At 42.3% G+C, this 23,786-nt stretch overlaps 1 long non-coding RNA gene across 1 annotated transcript in view; it reads right to left on the bottom strand.

The window, feature by feature from the left end:
• Positions 1 to 23,486, bottom strand: part of LOC105370656 (uncharacterized) — a 28,806-nt gene extending 5,320 nt beyond the window's left edge. The window contains exons 1-2 of the long non-coding RNA XR_944195.3: positions 23,390 to 23,486; positions 1,801 to 1,904 (exon numbers count right to left, since the gene is read on the bottom strand). This is a non-coding gene — a long non-coding RNA (uncharacterized LOC105370656). The remainder of the gene's footprint in view (positions 1 to 1,800; positions 1,905 to 23,389) is intronic.
• Positions 23,487 to 23,786: the final 300 nt, after the last annotated feature.

Below are 23,786 nucleotides of genomic sequence, written 5' to 3'. Positions count from 1 at the left end.
TTGACAGATGACCCAACCTCTCTGTGTCTCAGTTCCTTACACTAAAAATGGGAATAATAATGATATGAATGTCATAGTCCTGTGTGAGGGTGGATTAAGTTGACATATGTAAGCACTAACATAGTGCCTGATACACAGTAAGTGCTATACACATTTTGGACTCTCCTTAAATTTACTTTAGAAATTGTAGATTAGCCTACAAATTTATTTAAGAGACGATAAAAAAAAGATTCAAAACTTTAGGAATTTAGAAAGAATATAATCCATGGAGTCAGATTCAAGTCACAGCTCAGCTGAAGGGATAGGCAGTTTATTTCACTTCTTTGGCCTTCAGTTTCCACCCTCTAAACAACAACAACAACAAAAAAACAAAACAATGAAAACTACTCAGTGGTATTACTATAACGTTGAAATGCGGTATCATCAGTAGACAGAGCTGTCTCTTCGATTTGAGGGCCACACACAGCTGCCCCATGTCTCTTAGCCCATTGCGTCCTCGTCTTCCCATGAGGCTTAAGTGTTCTACCACTGATTCTCCCCCTACCAGGAATTACGTTGCATACAAACTGCCTCTTCAAAGGCAGGCTAATGTGTGCCTGATAATAGTTATTATTAAATGGCTTTATTGTACACACCTACTTTTATTATTGCATTATAATAATGAAATATCGGCAGTAGATTAAAGTCCCTGTGCCAAACAGCATGCCTTCCCTTTGGCAAGCCTGGCCATGGTTTTGTGGGTGGATGCTCCCAGCTCCTGGAAATTGAGTGGCTGGCCACCTTAAGTAAAAAGTCCCTGGCAATCTGAAAGAACATTTACTTTCTGGAGCATACTTTAAAGGATGACTAACTGGCCCTATGAAGCTGTACAATTGGGCAAGGGATTAGCAAAACCCCAAGAGGTAAGTTGCCTCCTAGGTAATTAGCATATCGAAATAGCCAACTGACCACTGAGAATTGTGTTGTCATTGAAAGGAGAGGGGTGCTTGGGATTCTGTGTGGTTCCCTAGCGCTACTGAGCCACTGTGGGTTTTCAGAAATGCAGGGATTGTTGCTCTCTGGGGACTGCTCGATTGCCACAGTTCACCCCAGATTTCATCTGTGGAAGGAGGCCTACTTACCTTGAGCATATGCAAGATGAGTGCTGCTTCATCTCTCTCCTCTTTGATCCCCTCACCCTCTCCTACTCCTCTTCTGACAACATTGCATCTCAGCCCTTTCACGTAGCTGACTCTTAGCTGACTTAAAGGTCTTAGCATCCCTGACAGATGGAAAAAGCCAGTGGAAGATGGTGGAAGGAAGCCATTGTGAGGGGTTCAGTTCAATTCAGTGGAGATATGGGAAATGTGAATTATGGGGGCATGAGGGCATTAGCTCTTAGAGGAATAGCGGGCTTAGAAAGAGCCCATCTCTTAGTTGTCCAGCTTGAACATGGAGACAAAAGGCCTGGGCTTGAGACTCTCAGTTTGCATCATGGACTCAGTTTCCACATCTATGAAATGGGCATGACTAACATTATTTGGAAATGTTACGCACATAAACAGAATATATGTAAACTCTGCAGCATGCTGCATGCCACCTGGCAGGTGGTCAACATCAGCTCCTTTTTAGTGATGGGGTCGGTGGGGGTAGGGCGAGAATTGCTTGGAATATGTGAAGAAAACTTCCCCCACTATCACCGTGTGGCCTCAGATATGTTATTTAATCTCTCGGACCCTCACCTACCAAACCTAAATAACACCCTCCCCTCGCCTCCCTCCCTGGAGCTGCTGGTCTGGCTACTGAAACGCAGATGCTTACCTGCTGTCTTCAAGATCTGAAGCCACACAGGGTCCTTTTTCAAGATCTGGAGGTGACGGGTTTACTCAGCCACAAACGGATTAATTGAGAATGAAGGCACCTACCTACAGAATGATGTTTGGATAAAGTTGACATGAATAGTTACACGGCAAAATTGCATAACACAATTGCAATTTTGGTTTTGTATGAAACTTCAACCTCTTCTCTCCAGTGTCTAGGAAACCTCCTGGTAGTTGGGACTTAGAAAAATGTCTCAGCTCTGGTTCCATTTCAATTCTCTTTTTTGATGTCTGGGTTCTAGGAGGTTGCGGATGCTCTTCGCATCCCTTCCAGGACCATGGAGTTTATTTCAACCAGGGCCTTCAACATCAGTACTGAGAATTCTTTTTTTCTGTATGATTCTGCATTTTACACAGTTAGGTCAGTCTCCATGAAATACACTTCTAGAGAGGTCCCTTTCCTCCAGTATGCTCTATTCATGAAATGAAAACACTTGGTTTGGCCAAACAGGTTCTTCCTGTAACATCTTCTCTGTCTCTCTCATTGTTTTTCTCTGAACCTTCCTCTCCTACCCTTCCCCAACCAACATCTTTTCCTCTTATCTTTTATGCTTTGGCTCAGTTAAAGGTCCTTTTAGGAGCCCTCTCTAACTTCAAAGGTCAGGGATTGATGGCCTTCCATGTCACCCTGCTCTTCGCCAAATCAGAGCTTTTTTTAAAAAAATCTAACATTCTATCTATCATCTATCTATCTATCTATCTATCTATCTATCTATCTATCTATCATCTATCTATCATCTATCTAATCTATCTATCAATCATCTATCTATCTAGCTAGCTAGCTATCTATATCTATCAATCACCTATCATTGATGCAACTATATTCTATCTACACATACATATACATACAAACATACATACACATATACATCTATGGTTTAAAATTAAAATAAGACTAGATAGATCTTAATGGAGAAAAGCAAACCTCTGCCCTAGCCCTGTTCACACCCAATATCTGCCCCCTAGAAGAAAACGCTTTTGAATGTTTAGGTGTTTTTGCTTTTTATTTATCTCTATATATTTATAATAACCTGCTTACATAGCTACATATTTTATGCTTATTGTAGGGAATATCTGTTGACTTTCTATGATACAAAATGAGCACTGGAAATTTGCATGCCCTCTCCCATGCACGTGCAGAAATACACAAATTGTGCATTTCTCCCTCCTCTTGTTACTGTTCAGTTTTTGTTTGACTCAGTATATAATGATCCTGACATCATGGCCATGTCTGTGTTGTCCATGCTGAGTCACAGGGAGTGTGATGATTGGACTTCCCTTCTTGTACAGTTTCACTGAGTTAACCACTACCTCGTCTGTTTAAGTCATTGTTGCTCTTTTCCATATCCTTACTTCTAATTCATCTCTGAACTCTCTCTGGTACATGTTTTTCCTAATGCAGTTGAGAATCAGATCATCTGTAGGGTCTGTTTTGTTCTAGGAAAAGTCTTTTTCTGGAGCTTTCTATACTCCTGCTTTTGTCTGGTCTTATTTTTCTGCAAACCACACATATAGTCCTAGAAATTCCTTCCTTCCTGATCCTGGAAATTCCTTTCACTTCTGCCCTTGATTGGTCTTTTTTCCCTGCATTCTGTGTCCCCCTTGTTCTTAGTTATCACCTTTGTTTGGGGCACACAGTCTTCTGTCATTCCTGGAGAAAGGACACAGGATATGTATGGGCATGTCCTTATCCGACCTTCCCACTTGATTGTAGTTTGGCAGCTAGGCATGGAATTCTAGGTTAGACTATCTTTCTCTCTGAGTCTAAGGACAATGAGGCAAAGCCTTCCCGCTCCCAGGGCTGCTGAGAAGCCGGTGTCATACAGAGTCTTAACGACATGAATGCCACTTGTTTGTTCTTGCTCTCTGGAAGCTTTACAAATCTTCTTTGTATCTCCAGTGTTCTAAAAGTGGCCGTGCTAGGTTAATTCTATGTCTTTGCTATTGTGAATAGAGCTGCGATGAACATGCGAGTGTGTGTGTCTTTCTGATAGAATGAATTATTTTCCTTCGAGTTCACTTAGTTTACATGATCGTGTAGATCTTGAAAATGTTGAAACATTTCATCATACTATATGAAAAACACATTGGTTAATATCACCAATCTCATTACAAAAAGTCCTTAAGAATTGGGAAGCTGTCAAATTCATGGAGAGATACAGAAAACTTTCAAAATTCGAATTTTCACTGGAGATTTTGAATTTTATCATTAAAAATAGATTGTTAGCTGTTTTCCTAACAGGCGCACTTCACTAACTTTTAATAAACTATCTGATAGCAAAATAACAACAAAATAAAAATGACAGTCCTTCCTTGGGTCATTTTACACCAGTCGTGCAGAACACTTCGAGGACCTTTTAAATTGTGTTTTGATTATCTTCCCTGTCTGCAATCATTTCTGTTTTATCATTGCTTAAGCCTCTTTTTTTTTCTTTTGAGGTAAAATTTACATTCAATAAAGTGTACAAATCTTAAGTGTCCCACACTGATGAGTTTTGACTGATGCATACACCAGTGCAACCGAAAGCACAGTCCAGATAGAGAACATTCCCATCGCAGAAAAGACCTCTCTGCTTGCTCCTCAAGTAGGGAGAAGGAGGCACTCTCTACTTCTCTACCAAAGAAAAGGCGCTTTGGACTTCTTCATGGTGCACTAGTTTGGCATTAAGGAACTGTACATAAAAGAAATAATATTGCATACTGTCTGTGTCCAGCCTCTTTACCTTGACATGTTTCTGGGATTTCTCTATACTGTTACCTGTAACCATGTTGTGTTCCTTCTTATTTCTGAGTATTATTTCATTTACTATCAATTGCCATTCAGGGAACCCCTGAGGTGTTTCCAGTTTGGGGTTATTATGAATAAAGCTGAAGTTAATATTTTGTGCAGTTCTTCCAGTAAACATCTTTTTATTTCTACTGGGTATACACCTAGAAGTGGAATGTTTAGGTCATAGGGTAGAACGATGTTCAGATTGTTTTCAGAAACTGCCAGAAGTTTTTCCAATATAATTCAACCATTTTTACTACCATTAACAGTACATGAGCATTCTAATTGTTCCACATCCTTGTCAACATTTGGCTTTGTCAGTCATTTTCATTTTAGCTGTTTTGGTGACTATATAGTGGTATCTTGTTATGATTTTTATTTGTATTTTTCTGATGGCTGATGATGTTGAGCATTTTTTTATGTCCTTATTGGCCATTTGTCTATATTCTTTATATTCTTTTATGAAGTGTCTGTTGTCCATTTTTTATTGGGTTATTTGTCTTCATATTATTGATTTGAAGGGGTTCATTATATATCCCATATACATATGACATATGTATGTATCCTTTGTGAAACTATTTAGATACTTTAAAAATTTTTAACTGCGCAAAATATATATAGTATAAAATCCACCCTCTTAATCATTTTTCAGCGTGTAACTCAGTAGTGTTAAGTGCTAACGCACTTTGAATCCTGAGACAGTTTTCTTTTGCTCCAAATGTTTTCTTTTAATAGCGTCTTATTCTTTTGCAATAGATGCAGTATCTTCTTTTATTTCTCTAAATTATATAATTATCTTCTGTTCCCTGCAGTGTCTCCTTTTCCTTTTAGATTTAGAGTCTGAAGTTCATGCTTTTCTCAAATACATATGATCCTTTGTTGCCCATTGACAATGAACAGCGTGGAGCCATAGCTTGTGTGGAGGCTGCGTGTGCTGGGTGAGATTTGTCAAACACTTTGCTTTAAAATAGATAAAAGACTTAGCTCTTTCACTGGTTCAACTCCAAATTTTAATATTTGTAGGTCCTGGATCATCAGCTGCTCAGAGTTTCCAATGATGATAAAGCTCCTATCCCTTGCCTGGCCTCTCTCATCCTAACCATGTTCTGGTGGCCAAGTAGGGGAAGTGAATTGAGGCAACGGGTGTGAAGGATCTCACCATGCAGTCACTACACTTTCACCAAATCTTCTTGGTTTCACTGGGCTACCTGGGATCTGGAGCCTTCCTAGTTCAGTTCTTCTACAGACTAAACTCCATGTCTCTTGTCTCTGGCAGGGTAGGGTGGAAGGAGCAGTTCATGCTGCGGCAGGGTGGAAGTAGCCTCCTGGCCAGTCATCCTGTATTCAGTCTGACCTTGAATCTGGCCTTCAGAGGCAAGTGGTTGTCCCATCCTCAGCCTCCCCAGGACTCCCCAGTGCACATCTCCCTGGCCCTTGATGCCCCTACCCCAGGCAGACACTTTGGTGTTGTTCTTACTGTCAGCCAAGTGATTTGCTGCCTTCTCACCTATTCTCTAAGGTCCTAGTACTTGACACCCTTTGTCTGTTGTTCCTGCCTCTCAGACTTCCTTATCTCTGTGGATTTGTACATTCCCTACTTTGCGGTGCTATGGGAAGAAGATCAGATGAGGGATGCCCATCATGTGCCTTACACAATGTGTGGTCAATATCAGCTTACCCTTGTCTCTGAGCTCCTTCCAGGGAAGGAGCCATAAACCTGTGGTCATCATTCTCTCCCACATGGCAGGTGCACAATGAACATTTGTTGAGTTGAATGTATTCCTGCACTGCTTCCAGAGATGGGCCCATCCCATCCTGGTTTGTGATAATAGAGCCTCATTGCTAGGCAATTCAAACCTGGAAATAGCTCCTTCAGTATTCTGAAGTCTGGACTCTGTGAGACATTCCCTATGCCACGACGAGCATGTCCTCTTGCTGCGGCACTTTTCCAGGAGCTGGCTTCTCCACCACCTTCCTTCCACTCTTCCATAGGTTACAGGCAGGCACTCGCGGTCCACATGGAGCTTTGCTCTGCTTTGCAGCCTTCCTGCCTTGAATGTCTGAGCTTGGGGCCCGTGCTTATTTTCATGTTTTCATTACAGGCTGCCACTGGATTCTCAAAAGGCAAATTGGCCCCAACTGTCTTAAAAAACAAACGGCCTCTCCTAGTGCTTCAAAATAATTATCTCCAAAAGGGAAGGAGGCAGCGCATCCACTGTCAGTCCTAAATGACATCATGGCTGATGTGCAGTGTTTAGAAGATTAATAACATCTGCTTTTCAAATCACGGTTGGTCGCAGACCCCGGAGCTCACATCAAACATATGGGGTGTTTTGTATGCATGATGTGCAGGAGAACACTCCACAGCCAAGGCCACAGACTAGAGAAAATGTTGTCACAATAACACTGCCTTCCTTTTATTGAGGGCCTTCGATGAGATGGGCACATACTGACCCCTTACACAGACGACACCTCTATTACCAAAGTCAGCCTGCAGCATTAGTACTGTTATTCTGACTTAGTTTAAAGGAAAGCTAAAGATCTCAAAGACTGAAAAATGTAGCTAACTTCCGACAGAAAGTCATTGATGAAGTCAACAATCAAATTCAAGTAGACATGACTGGGACTCTTTCAACTCTCCCAACCTGTTTCCAATTTTGACCAGCAGGGCACATCCAGAAACACAGAGTTTAGGGAACACCCGTGATGAGACGAGACTGTCCGCTTATTCGATCATCTTCTTCTACTCAGTTAAACACATTCCAGAGAGCGGAGTTTGAACGGAGAAACCCTTTCATCCCTGGAGCAGCATCCACATTTGTTTCTTGATGTTGAATAAAGTGACTTGCATCACTGCAAATCAAGAATGTACATGATAACCCAGCAACCCCAGCTTCTGATTTATACAGACTGATACTGGAAGATGAAAATGGAAGTGAACCACTGTCTGCATTTTAAACACGTTTGCCTGAGGTTTTATGTTGTTTTCTTTTTCTTCTTTTAGGGTTAGAGAAATTGGCAGGCTGCCCCCAGCCTTTCAAGCGGGTTTCAATGAGTGAAGAGAAGTAAAGGAAAGGTCGAAAATAAGGAGCATGTGTACAATTTCTAAATGTTTCCAGGACGAAAACAGTTGTTCGGACAACCAGAAAGGAAATTAATAAAAAGACAGGAGGGGGTATTCTTACTTTTCTCCTGCATCTGAGAGAAGAAACCAGAGGCTGCACTGGGGACAAGGGATGTCTTGTTCAGTCCCTAAGAACGGGAGTACCCAGGACTCCATCAGCCTGAGTCTTCAGGAAAAATCTTCCCTTGTCATAGCTCCAATCCCACATTTCAGACCATCTCTCAATCTCTTTAAGAAACTTGGAGTAGGAGGATGGCGGATGAAAAAAATCTTTTTTTTTTTTTTGAGACGGAGTTTCGCTTGTTACCCAGGCTGGAGTGCAGTGGTGTAATCTCAGCTCACTGCAACCTCCGCCTCCCGGGTTCAAGCAATTTTCCTGCCTCAGCCTCCTGAGTAGCTGGGATTACAGGCACCCGCCACCACACCCAGCTATTTTTTTGTATTTTTAGTAGAGACAGGGTTTCACCATGTTGGCTAGGCTGCTCTCAAACTCCTGACCTCAGGTGATCCACCCACCTCGGCCTCCCAAAGTGTTGGGATTACAGGCATGAGCCACTGCGCCCTGCCAAAAAATAATTTTAGAGCTTTTTTACCCACAGTATCAAAGCTACTGATATCAGTTAAGGATATGTATCTTCATTGCCAAGCTTGAATCAGCTTTGGGGGGTGGGTGGGAGGAGCAAGGAATTAAGGGATGCTCTTAATTCTGCCAAGGTTGTCTACAGGAGGCCATGGATGGCAGTGGACAAATGGCCAGAGCATGGACTGTGAAACTCAAAAGAAGGGCCAGTGCCTCACTTGCATCCATTTCACAAATTCACATGGTGCCCCTTCTTTGTGTTGATCAGAGAGGGATATAGAACAGGATGTGTATGATTCCTGTTCTGTGGAGTTTATGCTGATGAGGGAAGTTGATGAAGAAAAAAGCAAAGACACAAATTAATAAAAAAATTGCAAGAAGAGTTGGGTGTTTTGAAGGGGGCAAGCAAGGGAAGTATAGTGAATCCCAGCAAGTGATCTGTAGCATTGTCAGGAAGGGCTCTGTGAGGAAGCAGCATTTAATCTGAGACCTAAAGGAAAAGAGAAAACCAGCCATGCAAAAGAGAGCAGAACACTGCAGAAGGAGAGAAGAGATTGACCAAGCTTGAGTGGGGAGAGGTGGGAGACTGAGCACCAGCCAGCGGGTCCGCCTGCCCTGGGGAGTCCTGGCTAGGTCCTGGGGGCCTCTAGAACACAAGGAAGTCAGATATAATTCTCAATGGCCTGGGCAATCATGATAGAGTCTTAAGTAGTGGAAGATCACGCACCAGGGGCCAGCAGGTCCAACTCTGCCACCTGCTTTTGTAAAAAAAAGATTGCCACATAGCCACACCAATTTGTTTACATATTTTCTGTGCTGTTGGGTACTACAAAGGAATAATTAGTAGTTGTGACAGAGACCTTAAGGCCCCAAAGCCAAAAATATTTACCATCTGGCCTTTAACAGAAAAAAATTGCCCATACCTGTCCTGTACCACGTGATCTGTGGCAAACTCAACCTCTTTGAGCATCAGTTTCTCCTTTATAAAATGATGCTGGTACACTGGAAACAGGTAAATTTTATGGTATGTAAATTATATCTCAATAGAACTGTTTATAGAAATGAAGATGTCAATGGGACAGGCATGGAACTGCTGGAAAAAGGGTTAAAAGGAATATCAAATAAAAATCACAGAGCAGATTGGCACACAGAGCTCAACAGCACTTTCTACTGCTGATACTATGGCTAACAGCTTGGTAAAGCAGGTCTTATTATCCTTCCCTTATCCATACACTATAGCTCAGAGAAGTGAAGTCACTACCCTGAGGATGCACAGCACTAAACCATAGGTCCGGGATTCTAGCCCAGATCTCTGGGACCCCAGTATTCCTTCTGTGGATGCACTGTCTTGCCTTTGAGGTAGTTGTGACTCCCGAAATTGAGTTAGGCTGAACGGTGGAAGTAAATTGTAGGGAAGGCAGGCAGTGCTGGTGAGCTGAAGGGCACTCATTAAATGTCTTTTTTCCCTGTTTGGTTTCAGGCTGTGTGAATTCTCACTGCCCCACGTTTCACTTTGAGCTGGGTGTTCATGTGAGCTCTCTACTTCACATGAACTCCGGCCTGAGTTTTGCTTGTTCGAGGCTGAAACTGTCAGAAACTGCTGAGCTGGGCCCAGTTGCTAGGCCCCATCAAAGGCGCTGGCCGGGGCTTCCAGACCTGGGTCTAAGGCCAGCCCACCCACGGCTTACTCTGAGCCAGGACACAGTCAGTTCATCTTGTTTCGAGTTTCGGCTCATCTCCTTTCAAGTTTCGCTCTGAAGCAGTTCACACATCACCCTCTCTCCCTCTTTCTGTGGGCTGGTCTGGGCTGTGAAATGCACCCTGGGAGATCAGCAGCCCTAGCCAGGAGCCATGGTCTGGAAGGCTGAGGGTGGTCTCATCTGGATCTGTAAGCCAGGAGCCTTGGCTCCGTGTGGAGCTCTGCTCCAACCAATGAACCCGGTGAGCTTTGCCAAGCACAGCCACCTCTCCAAGTCTCAGTTTACTCCTCTGTCAACTAAGAGATTGAACTATGACGTTTAAGTTCTTTTGACCTCAAATAATCTAGGCATCCTGGTCTAAGGATGTATCTTTAGGATGAGTAGATTTTAGAGTCCCAGGTTTTATTCTTCCCACTTTTTTAAGAGCTGAAACTGTCTTTAGAAATTTTCTAGTTTTTCATCTTCATTTTACAATGGAGGGAACAAAACCCAGAAAGGCTAAAAGATTGTTCTAAGGTCCCAAGGAAGTCAGTGGCAAAATGGAGACTAGAACCCATGTCCATAGACTCTCAGTGCAGTGTCCCAGGGACACCTACGGAGATGCACTCCGAAGCCCCTGAGTCTTTGTAAGATTTGAGCCTTTCTTGTAAACAAAAACATGAGAAAGAGGCTTCCTTAATACTTATTACACCTTAGATAAATTGGCAGCAATTTTCTTTGCTGTAGCCTGGCACTTTTCCCAAACATCTGGTCAGGGCCGGGCAGGCCTGGCCCTCCCACCCCTCGGAGGAGCAGTTGGGGCTGCCAAAGCTGGAGCCTCAGGGGTCCCCCGGGACGGATGCTACCTAATGTGCTGTCTGCGATGCTCGCTTCACTTCCACAACACCTGCTTTCTGAAGCTGAGCTGCCACTCAATCCCAGGCCAGGGGAGCATGGGAAATCGGCAACAGTCGGGGGAAGCTGGGGAGAAGATGACACAGAAAGGAGGCACCCCAGCCCCTGTGAGGAGCAGCCTGGTGACAGAGGCTTCTAGAGGAGAGTGGTGGGGTTTAATTAACATGCACCATTATTTGGGGGCCATGAAGGATGGTGGCTCTGTGGTTAAGACAAGCTGGGGTGCTCAGAAAGCCCTCCAGCCCTGGGCTCAGCTGGCCTGGTGTGTGTCTTGACACCTTGTGTGGCTTTTAATTTCCGTGACCTCTTCTGGCCTAGGACTCTCTCAGCAGCAATGGAAGCCATGTTCTGAAGCACACAGATCAAAATCCAGGATGCAGATTCTGATCCAAATTTCTTCCTGACATTAGGCAAGTCACTGTCTTCCATACAAGAGACACACGTGCCAAGTCCCTGCTCTAGGCTTTGACTGGGCCTAAAGGTTGAGAAACAGAATTAAAGGAAACTGGGTTCCCTTCTTCTAGCCCACTATTATCCAATTAGAGAGGAAGAATGAAGGCAGATATTAAAATATATATTTTGATATTTATAAAGGAATGAGGATGGAAGAGCAAGAAAAAGAGAGAGAAGGGGAAAGAAGGAGGGAGAAGGGAAGGAAGGGAGAGCAGGAGAGGGAGAAACTTGGGCACATGGGGAACAGAGAAAGAACATCTAACACAGCATGGGAGACATAAATGACGATCCAAGAAGGCCCAGTGGTGGAGTGGATATCTGAGCTGAGTGTCACATGAGGGTAGGCATCAGCCAGTGAGAACGGGAGGGATCAACTGCACCATGTTTAATGCGTGAAATTGAGAAATGGAAAACTGCACATAAAACACTCACCATGGTGCTCAATGAATGCCTGCTGCAAATATCAACCTAATTATCAGGCCAGAGGGGCCCTTGGACATGGTGGCCACTTGATTTAATTTTTCCTGTGCTTTAAACTTTATAAACTGTTACATATTGGGAATCGACCTTATGGAAAACACAACACCTAGAGTTAAGGGATTGAAAAGACCATAAGCAAAGACCAACTGTGGCAGTCACTGGTAGTCATCTACCCTAACTACACTTTGCCACCTCTTTGCAGACAGATTCAAATTTTGTTTGAGACTGCAATGCACCCGTCTGAGGGCATGAATCTTGCTTGGTAAGAGGCCAGTTGGGTCATTTAATTTTGCCTTGCCAGAGGCACACTTTCCCAGCCTCCTTTGCAGCATGTGGCCATGTGACACAGCCCGGCCAATGGGGTTTCTAGGAAAACATTTACTTCCCGGCCAAGTAATAGTGGCATAAATAGAGCTCCCCAAGAAACTCAACGTTCCTTCTGGTTCCCAAGTATTAATCAACCACTGTGCAGTTTAAAAACAAATATCAGCCGTAATAACCACCAAAATCTAGACCTCGAAGCAAAAGACATGCTCAGAGGCATAGTGTTACCACTTTTAGCTGCAAGACTCTTGGCAAATCACTTAAGCCTGCATTTCATTTTTGGCAGAATTAGAACAAAAATACTCCAACTGCAAAGGTTGATTTTGAGGAATGGCCGGACCATTGCATGTGAAAACACAGGTGTAAATACAAAAGTGCTTTCCAGAAGTATCATTCTTAATAATATTTTGGTGCTATTCTCTTGACTATTCAATATAATAATTATTATAATTGCTGCTTATATAATTTTTCTCAGCTAATTGTATTTCCTTATATTTAAGACTGCTAAATTATGAAATATTATCCAACCCCAATGTTTCCCAATAATTTTTCAAAAACATTTTAAGTCATTTTCATAACATTTATGAAGTAAAAGAAGCCTGTGCATGGTAGTTCCTTTTTTATAGGTTTTTATCAATTGTATTATATTTTGTAGTATGCTATTTATGCGATGTTATAGTTTTTTATCTAGTGATGTATTTAGTAGACATAAAATTAATGAGTAAAACTAAATATATTTTTAAAGGATAAAATTGTTCTTACTAAATTTTAGAAAAACATGTAGCCTTCTGACTCAAGGACTTTGTATGTTAACCACATAAGCATGGTGACTAGTGGGGCTTTAGGTGAAGTTTGAGCAAAGGTGCTGCCAAAAATTTGCAAATTTTCTCAATAAAGTTCGATGTGATCATCTCTAAAGTTTCTTCCCATTTATTTCAATATTTTATTCCTCCTTCTTTTTCAATAAAATCGAGGACCTAATACATGCTCAATTCTTGATGGGGTCCAATTGAGCACATACTAGCTCCTCAGTTGAATTAGAATCATTTCCATTTACGACATAATACATATTTTTGAAGTATCTACTTCATAAACACTGGAGAAATGCATAGAAACTCTAGATAGAACTTCTAGATGAGAAGGCAGATCTTGAAGTAATTTTAACTATGAACTCTACCAAAAAGAGGTACAGCATATAATAGAGCATGCTCTGAAACTCCCAACTCTGGCACTTTTAACTATCTTTGATGATTGTGGCACAGGAAATGAGGCCTCAAATCACATCAGAGCCCTAAGAAACCACCCAGTGCTCTTGGAGGTCCTGGGCTCCTCCCTTCCTTCTCCAGGAAGTGAGAAATCCCTTTCTTCTCTTCCTATCAAAACATCATCTCTCTTGTGACTTTTTTTTTTTTTTTTTTTGAGACAGAGTGTCACTCTGTCACCCAGGCTGGAGTGCAGTGGCGCTATCTTGGCTCACCACAACCTCTGCCTCTCAGGTTCAAGCGATTCTCCTGCCTCAGCCTTCCGAGTAGCTGGGACTACAGGCCCGGGCCAGCACACCCAGTTAATTTTTGTATTTTTGGTAGAGACAGGGTCTCACCATGTTGGCCAGCTGGTCTTCAACTCCCGATCTTAAGTGATTCACCCGCCTCGGCCTCCCAAAGTCTAATCTGCCATTTCTTATTTCCCTGTTTTCACATCCAACCTTCCAGATAGACACAAGGTTGGTAAAACCAGGAGCCTGTCTATCCCACCTGCTGCCAGGTTTGCAGAGTCAGGAGGGGACGAGCTTGATTCTGGCTGCTGACCGCCATCTTACTCTTCCCTCTGCACTCTGCATTCCTCCTGAGCCAGCGAGCCTTCCCCTACCCTCGCTTTGTTGTCAAGTGTTCTTTCTACCCTGACATTTCCCACAGCTTTTCCAGAGTCGTTTGGATCCGACTGAGATCCCAATCTCCCACATTTTAGCCAAAGTTCAAATAGTGACTCATCTGTCCTTTTTAGACCAAGTTGATGTGTAACCTAATATTTCCAGAGAATACATCACTTTGTGTGTGATAACTTCCCAGAGAAAGCCACAATATCCCACAGGCATGATTGGGAATTATCACGTAAGTTGGGAAAGTTGGAGTGCCCACACTTGATAGCTATACTGTCCTTGCAGGGGTCCTCTCAGAGCCTTTACTCATCACCAGGAAAAAGAGCAGAGCAGAGAGTTGCAGAAGCACAGAGGCTGTGGGCCTCATTGTCCCTTGCTTGACTCCTAGCAAAGGAAAGACTGAGTGGCAATCTGTTCCCCATATGACACAGGGACCTCCGCAGATATTTAATGACACCATAGATGAGTATGAAGGCCATGGCGGCATTATTAAAAATGTACGGGACAGGGATGGGAAGGATGGGGCTGGGGGATGTGGATGGATTTCAAAACCTGGAACAAATGAAAGTAATTTGGGAAGAGTCACAAGCAATTTAAGCTAAGGTACCATATCTCCCTTGAAAATGGCCAGGAACTTGGAAGCTAGTGAGAAATAAAAGAATCCAATCATGACACTTTTCCTTTGCTTATATTTTTTCAGTTGTTTGGGGAGTGGGAGAAAGATGATTGACTTCATCCATGTCTCTTCCCAAACATGGTTTTTGTATTAAGGATTAAATGATAGTTCTCCAAAAGACCTGACAAGTTAAGGGAAGACAAAACATTTATTTTGCCAGGTACTGAGAGAATCTGTATATCAATATGTATAACATTTAAAAAAATCTCTTTGTTATCAACGCTTACTTTCCACTTTGCATTACGTGCACTTTTGTAAGGCACTGCAAATCATTTATGGAAAGACACAAAGCAGAATTTTAAAAGATGATTATTAATTAAATGTTAGATCTGAAGTGATGCTTATAAGAACACTTTAAGATACTGTTGCTCCATTTTCTAGATGACAGAAGCAAAGCTCAGAGAGAAGTGAATTAGCTACAGCTCAGGGTGGGGTTGAATTTTGATCTGGAATTGGCTTACACTAAAGTCCATTCCATCTGCCATGCTCCATGCTTTCTGGAGGAAGTCCCCTTCTCCCAAGATCGTGGCAACTTGGAATTTCACTGTTACGTGGTACTTCCAGAGAAGAGTACACCGTCAGCAAAAAATACTACAACTCTGAAGTAGATTAAATGCTCACTATTCAATATTGGGAGATTCTCCTAAATATTCAAATAAAGAAATATTTTTCCCATTTATTTTATTCATTCCACAAATAATTACTGAGTGCCTAATATCTGAAAATTAGTAAATCTTAAAGTCAATAAAAATTACCTATTGGAAGTTTTAGCAGAAGCTTAATTAGTTTTAAATATCTGAGATGTTTGGTTTTATACATTGCCCAAGAAAATCAGTCATATAGATTTTCTTCATTCTCATCATCCTGGTCTTGGCATCACCTTATGCCTGGTTATTATTCTATATACTTGTTTAACCTTAAAAATCAATATATAACCACTAACAAATAATAGAAAATATTTATCTTTTTTCGGTGTAGTGCAATGTTATCAAAAGAAGAGAGGTTAGACATGCTATAAGATTCTACTTCTAGGCATGGTTCAACCACCGACCAGACTACTGTCTTTAATTATAGCATTGTATCTTCTTTGAGGCTCTAGATTGCCTTAAAAGGTAATAACAATAATGATAGTAATAATGATAATAATACTGATCTCACGTAATTGTTTAGGGGACTAACTTAGATCCTGGTGTTAAAATCTTTAACACAATACCATGCTCTGTAAATTAGGCAAAAACAAATCCCAGATTTGTTGCTTTGATTAAATGAACTGGTGAGTATAAAAAAAATGCAATGCATAATAAAAATTGCTGTATATATTTACTTTTTATGGTAGCTATTTCTATCTGTCTAGGTAGGAAGCTAGTTATCTATCTACCATCTCGTTCCAGAAATAATTTAATGTGGTCTATTTAATATTATTATCGTGTTTTATGATTCATTTTCTAGTCAACCCTATTCAGACACATTATTTTCTAGAAATAATAATTATAGTGATTTCAATATAAAATACAGTATACATGTATTGTTGGTTTCCTTCTAAGAGGCTGTCATCTACTTGTAGGTTTAATTGCTGCCACTGACAGGGATTTACAAGACTGCAAAACTGTAAGGTGAAATATCTATGCATTCACAGTCTCATACTTCAAAGGATTTAGAGTAGCAAGAAAGTCTACATTTAAACAACAAATCATCAGGAGTTAATATACTACTTTTGCACCAAAACTTCCATCATGTCCCTGGATATAAAATTTCCATGTTCAAGGTAGACTTTTCATATTAAATTCTGCTCAGAGTGAATCTATGGAGCAAGGATTCCATACCAAAAGCTACAGAGTTTCAAAGAAAACATGGGTTAGTGGTACTGTAAAGGAATCATACATATAATCTCATCTTATTTCATCATTAAATCATTCTTATAGCATAAAGCCTCTTATAGCATTCTTAGAAGGAAGCTATGCAGATTCTGCTTGGCTGCTCAGAGTGACTGGAAACTCATTACTTAATGAGGATGAGTCCATTGTGGGGCAACTCTCACTATTAGAAAATGGTCGATTGCCAGTTGGAGAGTGTGACTTTGTAGTCAAAAGATCTGTGCATTCGCTGTTCTCAGTCACTTAAATGGCCATGGAACCTTGGACAAATAATTTCTCCAACCTCTGTCAAAGCTTTGTCAACTGTGAAATGAGGACAGGAATGTACTCCTCCAAAAATGGTAGGGAAAAGACGATAATGAACATGAGGTTCCAGCACAGCTTAGCTGGTACCCAATAGAACATCACTTTTTCCCTCCTGACTTTACTTTCCTTTGAGTTAAAATCTCACTTATTACCAACATGTAGATAGGGAACTTTCTCATAAAATAATAATTATAATAATATTTTTTAAAAAACTGGAGTTTTGCCTACTTCTTGTGGCAAAGACTGGATGGAATCGAGCTTCTGCTGCCCCATTTAGACAGAACATGTGCTCTATATATTCCCCTAGTCTCCACCCAGCCAGTTTGCTCTTTCTAATGTGAACTGAATGCTATTGGCATTGAGGTTTGTGACCTTTATTTTAATGTGTAAAGCAGATCAGATGTCCTAGATCACTTCTTCTCCAAACTTCAACTTAGACTGACTTCCACCAACAGCCCACCACCCCGGGGGCCTGCCTTTACAAAAGCGTGGTGGCCGGTCACAGTCAGTGCCCTGGAAATGATCAGAACTACTGCTGGGTACATGCCCTGAGAGATGCTCAGAGCCCATCCTCTCCTCCAGGAGCAGCCCATCTGACCCCTGTGTGAATCGGGCCAAGACACTTACTAGGCTCTCATACCCTTTGCTTTAGAAGCCGGCTGACTAAGTGTTATCAATTCATACTGAAATTTACACTCGCCTCCTCGCTCTGTTCCCATCAAACACTGTGGAACATTTTGTCCTCTGTTCTCAAGCAAAAGAATGGTCCCTGCGTACCTCCTAGATGGTGATGCTGGGTATCACATGTGGGCCAAAGGAAGCCTGGGAGGGTCTGGTTTTCTCAATGTGGAGATGTGTCCCCTGTCTAGTGCTTTCTGAGAGAGTCCATGAGGTCAGGCACAGCTGGAGTCTCTAGGCAAGTACATGAGTCCAGAGACTCATGTAACTCTGTGCAAGTCCAGAGTTGAGGTCCCTTCCCAACTCCCCTGCCAAAGTGAACCTGGGGAATATCTTCAAGGAGAAGGGCACATTGTTTTGTTGGTGGTTTACCCTCAATCGTTGTCATATTCAGTCTCTAGGAGTGAATTGCTGAAGAAGAGTGACCAAACTTAAGGCAGAAGGAAGATAAGCCTGTGACCGTTGGTGGGATCTCTGGCTTTATCAGCGTGGCTGACATTCTCAGACTCTAATGGGATTCCCGGATATTGTATGGAATGCCTTACCTTGGATCATGGTTCCAATTCACCATCATTCCTTCATTTATTCAAATTTGATTGAGCACCTGCTATGCCTCAACCTCTTTTTAGGTATTCAGAGTACATTAATGAACACAATAGATAAAGGTCTCTGCCCTAGTGAACTGAGACATAAAAAGCAGTAACAGAACAAACTGGTGCATTATATAGCAGAGTTCAGACATGCTAAAGACAAACAAAAATAGGAAAAATAGTGCTGACCAAGGGAGTGTATCGTGTATATGGACTGATTAGCCAAAAAAAAAAAAAAAAAAAATTAGAGAAGCAGTTAAGAGGCAATGGCTCAGGGCATGGGCTCTGACAATGGGATTCCTGGTTTTTAGCCTTGGCACTAGCACTTTCTAGGCAGGCGACCACGGAAAAATGACTTAACCTCTCTCAGTTTCTGCATCTATAAAAGGAAAATAACAATATGTCTTCTTCACAGAGGTGCAGTGAGGGTTCATTGAGAAAGGTGCCCGGCACACACAAAGTGTTCAGTGAATGTGTTAACTCTTTATTATTCACATGCCCGTGTTGTAATTGAGAAGACAGAGACCCAGAGAAGGGGAGCAGCTTCCCCAGAGGGCAGGCAAGGCAGGACCTGAGCTCAAAGGCAAGCAAGGGAGAACTTGGGATAATCATATTTAATCATAAACAACAATGGCTGTATCTGCAAATCCTCTGTGTCTTTTCAATAGTGTTTGGAAGAATCCCCTCTGCCTACTCCCTTTGCTCCCAGGCACTGACCAGACATCTTGGTGGCATGTCCAGGGGTCATCTCTTAGGAACCTCAATGAATGTCACTTGACCAGTCAACCAGTCGATCGGGTCAGCTGCAGCCCTCACACATGGCACAGTCAGTGTTTCCTCCCACGCCCTGGCTTTGCTGTGAAGCAAGGACAGCCGCCTGCTGATTAGCATCCACATGCCCTTATGCATAATTGAAGACATGTTAAGTCACCCAACTGAGTTCTCTTCCCCAGACCACATGGTTCCAGAGCACTGAGTTCCCAGAGGCCACTTTTTAAAGCTTTTATCTTGTCTATCACTCCTAGACTCTTCTCCTTTCTTACCCCTCTTTGAAGGACATGCACTAGGTAAAAGGCAAGAGGCTGCTACAGGAGAGAAGGGGAGAAAGAGGGAAACAGGAAGGGAATCACTCCTTTCAGGCTACTCCCTGCATCTCTAGATGAGACTACAGGGAGAGAGTGAATCCAAGGACAGACAGACCAGAGATTTTCTCTTCAACCCTCTGATTTGGATTGTCACTTGCTTTCACATCCCTCTGGCATTAGCATTGCCTGGGGGTCAGGATCTCTGTAAATGTTAGAAAAGATGGTAGGTGCTTTGCTCATCCCAATACTTCCTCCATCCATCCACCTCACTGAGTATCTTCTATGTTCTGGGTTCTGTGGCCCTGAGAAAACACAAAAAACTAGAACAAGGCAGCATAGAGACAACCACAGGGAGCCCAAAACCACAGCAAGGGCAGTAAGCTTTGACCATGGGGAGAGACAGTCAGACAGGGATGTGTAGAGGAGGAAAAGTGTGAGGTTGCAACGAATGGACGAGAAAGAGCCAAACGTAAAATGAGGAGTACAGATGGAGCCATGTGTGCAAAGATACAAAGGTGAGCAGAACTGAGGCACGCACGTGAGCTTGGAACAGAGTGAAGAGAGACAATGGCAGGGACCGAGAGGCAGGGCCTGGATAATGAAGGGATTTGGAAGAAACAGAGAGCAGTTTGGGTTCTATTCAGAGTGAACAGGGAGACTTTGAAGGGGTTTCAGGGGGAAAGGGAGAGGATGGGTTTTGTATTTTGCAGAGATTACTCTGGCTATAGTATGGATAATGGAGCAGAGGGTAACAAGAAAAGGGGAAGGAAAACCTCACAGAATCCCTTCACAAACCTCAAGGGAGGGTATGATGGTGACCTGAGTGAAAGCAACCCCCGTTTGGATGGAGAGGGAAGGTTTGATAACAGGGACATTTATGGTGGTCATCATAGAAATTGACTACTTATATCAGTCAGATAAGTCTATGTTAGAATAACAAACAATCCCCAAATCACAGTGGTTCACAGAGAGGCAGGGTTATTTGTAACATATATTGTTGTTCATCAAGGAATCACAGGAATTCTGTGGCTCTGTGATGTGTCCTCTTCATCTGGACAGGCTGGTCTCCCAGAAGGGGAAAATGAAGGAGAGCAGAACTACACAGGGATTCTAGCAACTTCTGTCCATAAGCTGCACCCACCACCTCGACTCATATTCGACTGGCCAAAGCAAGTCACAAGGTCAAGGCTGACATTACTGTGGCGGGAAGTAGTGTGTTTCTGCAAGGGACAGAAAATGTGTTCAGAGTAGTACTGTCTATCCTCATCTGCCCGCTTGGTCTCTAGTATTCACCTTCCTCCTTTGCTCATGTACAAGATGCTCACTCCTTCCTAAAGAAAGACAAAAGTCCTATCCAATCCATCTTGGACTCAAAATCCAGAATGTCATCTTTGTCTCTATATAAAGTCTGGAGACTGCCCTCTCCCATCTGAAGTCCCATAAAATAAAAATGTGAGTTAGTTGTGATCTCACCACCACCCCCAAATACAAAGGTGCTATGGGGACAAGGGAAGAACAAAAGCAAGAGGACTCCTATTTAAGAAGGGAAGAGTAAGCAGCACACAGTGCCCGCCAGTCTTTAGCAATTCTGAAACCCAGACAGACATGATGAGGATTCCCCACTTTGGAGTGGGGGGATGTCCTGGATGAGGCTCAAGCTCTCCTCCCTGGGATCATTTCCCAGTTCATCATCCTCCATGGCTCTTAGAGGGCAAATCATGTGTTTAGAGGTAGGGTCAGGGAGGTGGAATTAAGAGTTAAATTTTGGTAGCATGTTAATACAGGAGGCTCTTTGCTAGTTTAGATCATATATGTGAGTGGAGTGTGTGTTTGTATGGGAGTGATTCTGTGTGTGTGTGTGTGTGTGTGTGTATGTATGTGATGCCTTTCCTTCCTACATTACATTTGATTTACTTTTTCATAATTCTAACCTTTGTTTAGATATTGACAGGCTCTTGATCTCCCTTCAGCATTGCATGTGAGCATCAAGAGCTCCTTTCTCCCCACAAGGAAGAATTTGATCACCAGTCTTTCAGAACAGCACTTTAAAGACCACCTTGGTCTAAAATCCTCCAATAGCATTGGGAGAAAGTAACATTGGAAAGTAGCATTGGAAAAAAGAATCTATTGGTCAAAATTATAACACTTAGGAGAAGGACTAGAACATGGTCCAGTACTTAGGCTCCCGCCCCACACTGCAATTAAAACAAGTACTTTTTTTTTTCTTGATATCTAATAGACCCAGTCACATGCTTGATATCACACTTAATATTCAAAATTACACAAATGGTTTCAACATCAGCTACTCCGTCCCAATTAAAATTAAACTATTTGTACTGCATGCATATTTATACAATCGTCCCCTCTGACTAGATGTAGTCATGTGCATAGACATCGAAGCTAAATCATGCATTGTCTGAACAAAACACATGCCGGCAAAGGACGGGCTGGTGTTGGGAGCTGGGGATGGTGTCTCCATTAGGCAGGCAGTTAATTTAAAGTTTAAAAAATGGATTTTCAACAGCTGATACATGGCAGATTTAATAACCTGACAGTTTTTTCTCTCTTCCTAGCTAGTCCGTTCAACTTTGACTGGACCTGTTGCAGGATGATATGATTACCATTGTGTGCACCCTCTGGCATTATTTAAAAAGGCAAATCCCTAATCCCTGCTTAATTTTATGAACTGTCAAAATGATTCTAAATATCTGCTCTGTTTGCATTTTCACCTCGGGACAGAAGTCCAGAGGTACAGATTGGGTGTACAACAGTGGACTTGAGGCAATTTTCATCTCTTAATGCCTGTAGCATGAAAGGCTGAATTTGTAATAATCACCAGATTATCTCTAAAGATCGCTCTGTTGTACCTGCAAAATGGTTCTGCAGAAAAACGCAAAAGATACAGGGAAAAGTAATGATGAGAGGCAGGAGATGATTGCTCTTCCTAATCCCTGATGGAAATAAAAAAAAAAACCCCTCACACAACACCCTCCCTGCCCAAGACAAACGTTGGTAATTTCTGTTAAATGCTGTTTGGAACTTGCAGTGGCAGAAACCCGCTCTCGAGTCAAAGATGGGCTCCATTCCCTGTGCTCCTGCAAGCAGCTCCTGATGCTGAGGCATAAGAGCTGAGGGTCATTTGCAAAACAGGTACAGAAGAAGAGGCAGGCTCTCAACCCAACTGAAGAGAGAATGAGAAATCAGACAATGCATGGAAGAGCCCTAGTGCATCCCCTGAGATGTGTTTTTTTCTCTTTTGTCTCTCTGCTGGGGACAGGCAGCAGGGGGATGTGGGAGGCAGGTCAGGGCTGGACCCCAGTGTGGCTCAAGATGGCTGTGTGACTTTCATCAAATGTCACCTTGTCCCTGTCCTGGCTTCTGTTTATGCTCCCGACAAACGAGAGTGGAAGGTGGGTGCTGGCTGCAAATCCCACCAACACCAACACACACAGCAGAGAGGATGTGCGCACTTCTCTCTGCTGGGATCTGGATTCTAAGCTGCACATCCAGGCTTCCTTTAATCCTTGGTATTCTGAGAGGCAGGTGTCAGAAAGGTGAGGGTGTAGAACTATGCTTACCTCTGCATTACAGGTCTCTAAGCAAGGAAAAGGAGGTAAGTTTAGGTCTAACTACAGGCAAGAAAAGAGGCAACCTTATGTCTAACTATAGGCAACAACATGTTACATATCTGGGAAGATCTCATCTTCTCCCCTTCACACACACACACAAAATCTATGGTTTTCAAGATGCCTAAATCACACAGGCAAAAGAACATTGTACGACGATCCCTCACCCCAAAGTTTTAAGAATGGAAGTTTTAGGTAATTCGATAGTCTGCAAAATTGAGGGAGAAATTCTGCCTTCCCTTTTAACTCACTGGCAAAAGGGGCCAGAATATAAACTTTCTTCTACCTTTTATCTTGAGGACATTAGGAATGGGGCTGGAAAGTAAATTATTCTTTTTTTAGGATTGATAGACAAGGAAAAGTCCGAGTTGAATATTCTCAGACTTGTTTACGCACTTGTAAAAAATTATGGTAAATTCTAGACCAAGCCTGTCTTCTTGTAGTGTGTTCCTCAAAGAAAAGCCAGTATCCAATCCTACTTCTCACAATACCTTGGAGTGGCTGTGGAGCAGAAGGAGGATTCCTGGAGTCAGAAACCAGAGGTCTTCTGAAGGAAGTGCTCTGCTGTGAGTCCTAATGCATCAGGATATCTTACAGGTTGTTGATTGCATTTTGTTTGCTGATTTTAAATCTGTGAAATCTTTGGTTATTCATCAGGTACTCCTAAGTAGCAGCTTTGATAGTGAAATCTTCCCAGGTGTAAACTGAAATTGACCCCAAATAATCAGAAGTTGGGAGTTTTCTGAGAAAACCGGTGGAATACATTCTCCTTTGCTCTATTTTTTAAATGCCCTGTGGTTTATTAATTAATAAGCTAATCCTCTTCTTCTGATACACTTTCATAGAAAGAAAATATTTAGATCACTTCAACGTCAAAACGAAAGCATA

Source organism: Homo sapiens, chromosome 14, assembly GCF_000001405.40.
Source record: "Homo sapiens chromosome 14, GRCh38.p14 Primary Assembly".
Taxonomy (NCBI): domain Eukaryota; kingdom Metazoa; phylum Chordata; class Mammalia; order Primates; family Hominidae; genus Homo; species Homo sapiens.
The sequence above is the reverse complement of the archived record's forward strand: the minus strand, read 5'-3'. Positions and strand labels throughout refer to the sequence as shown.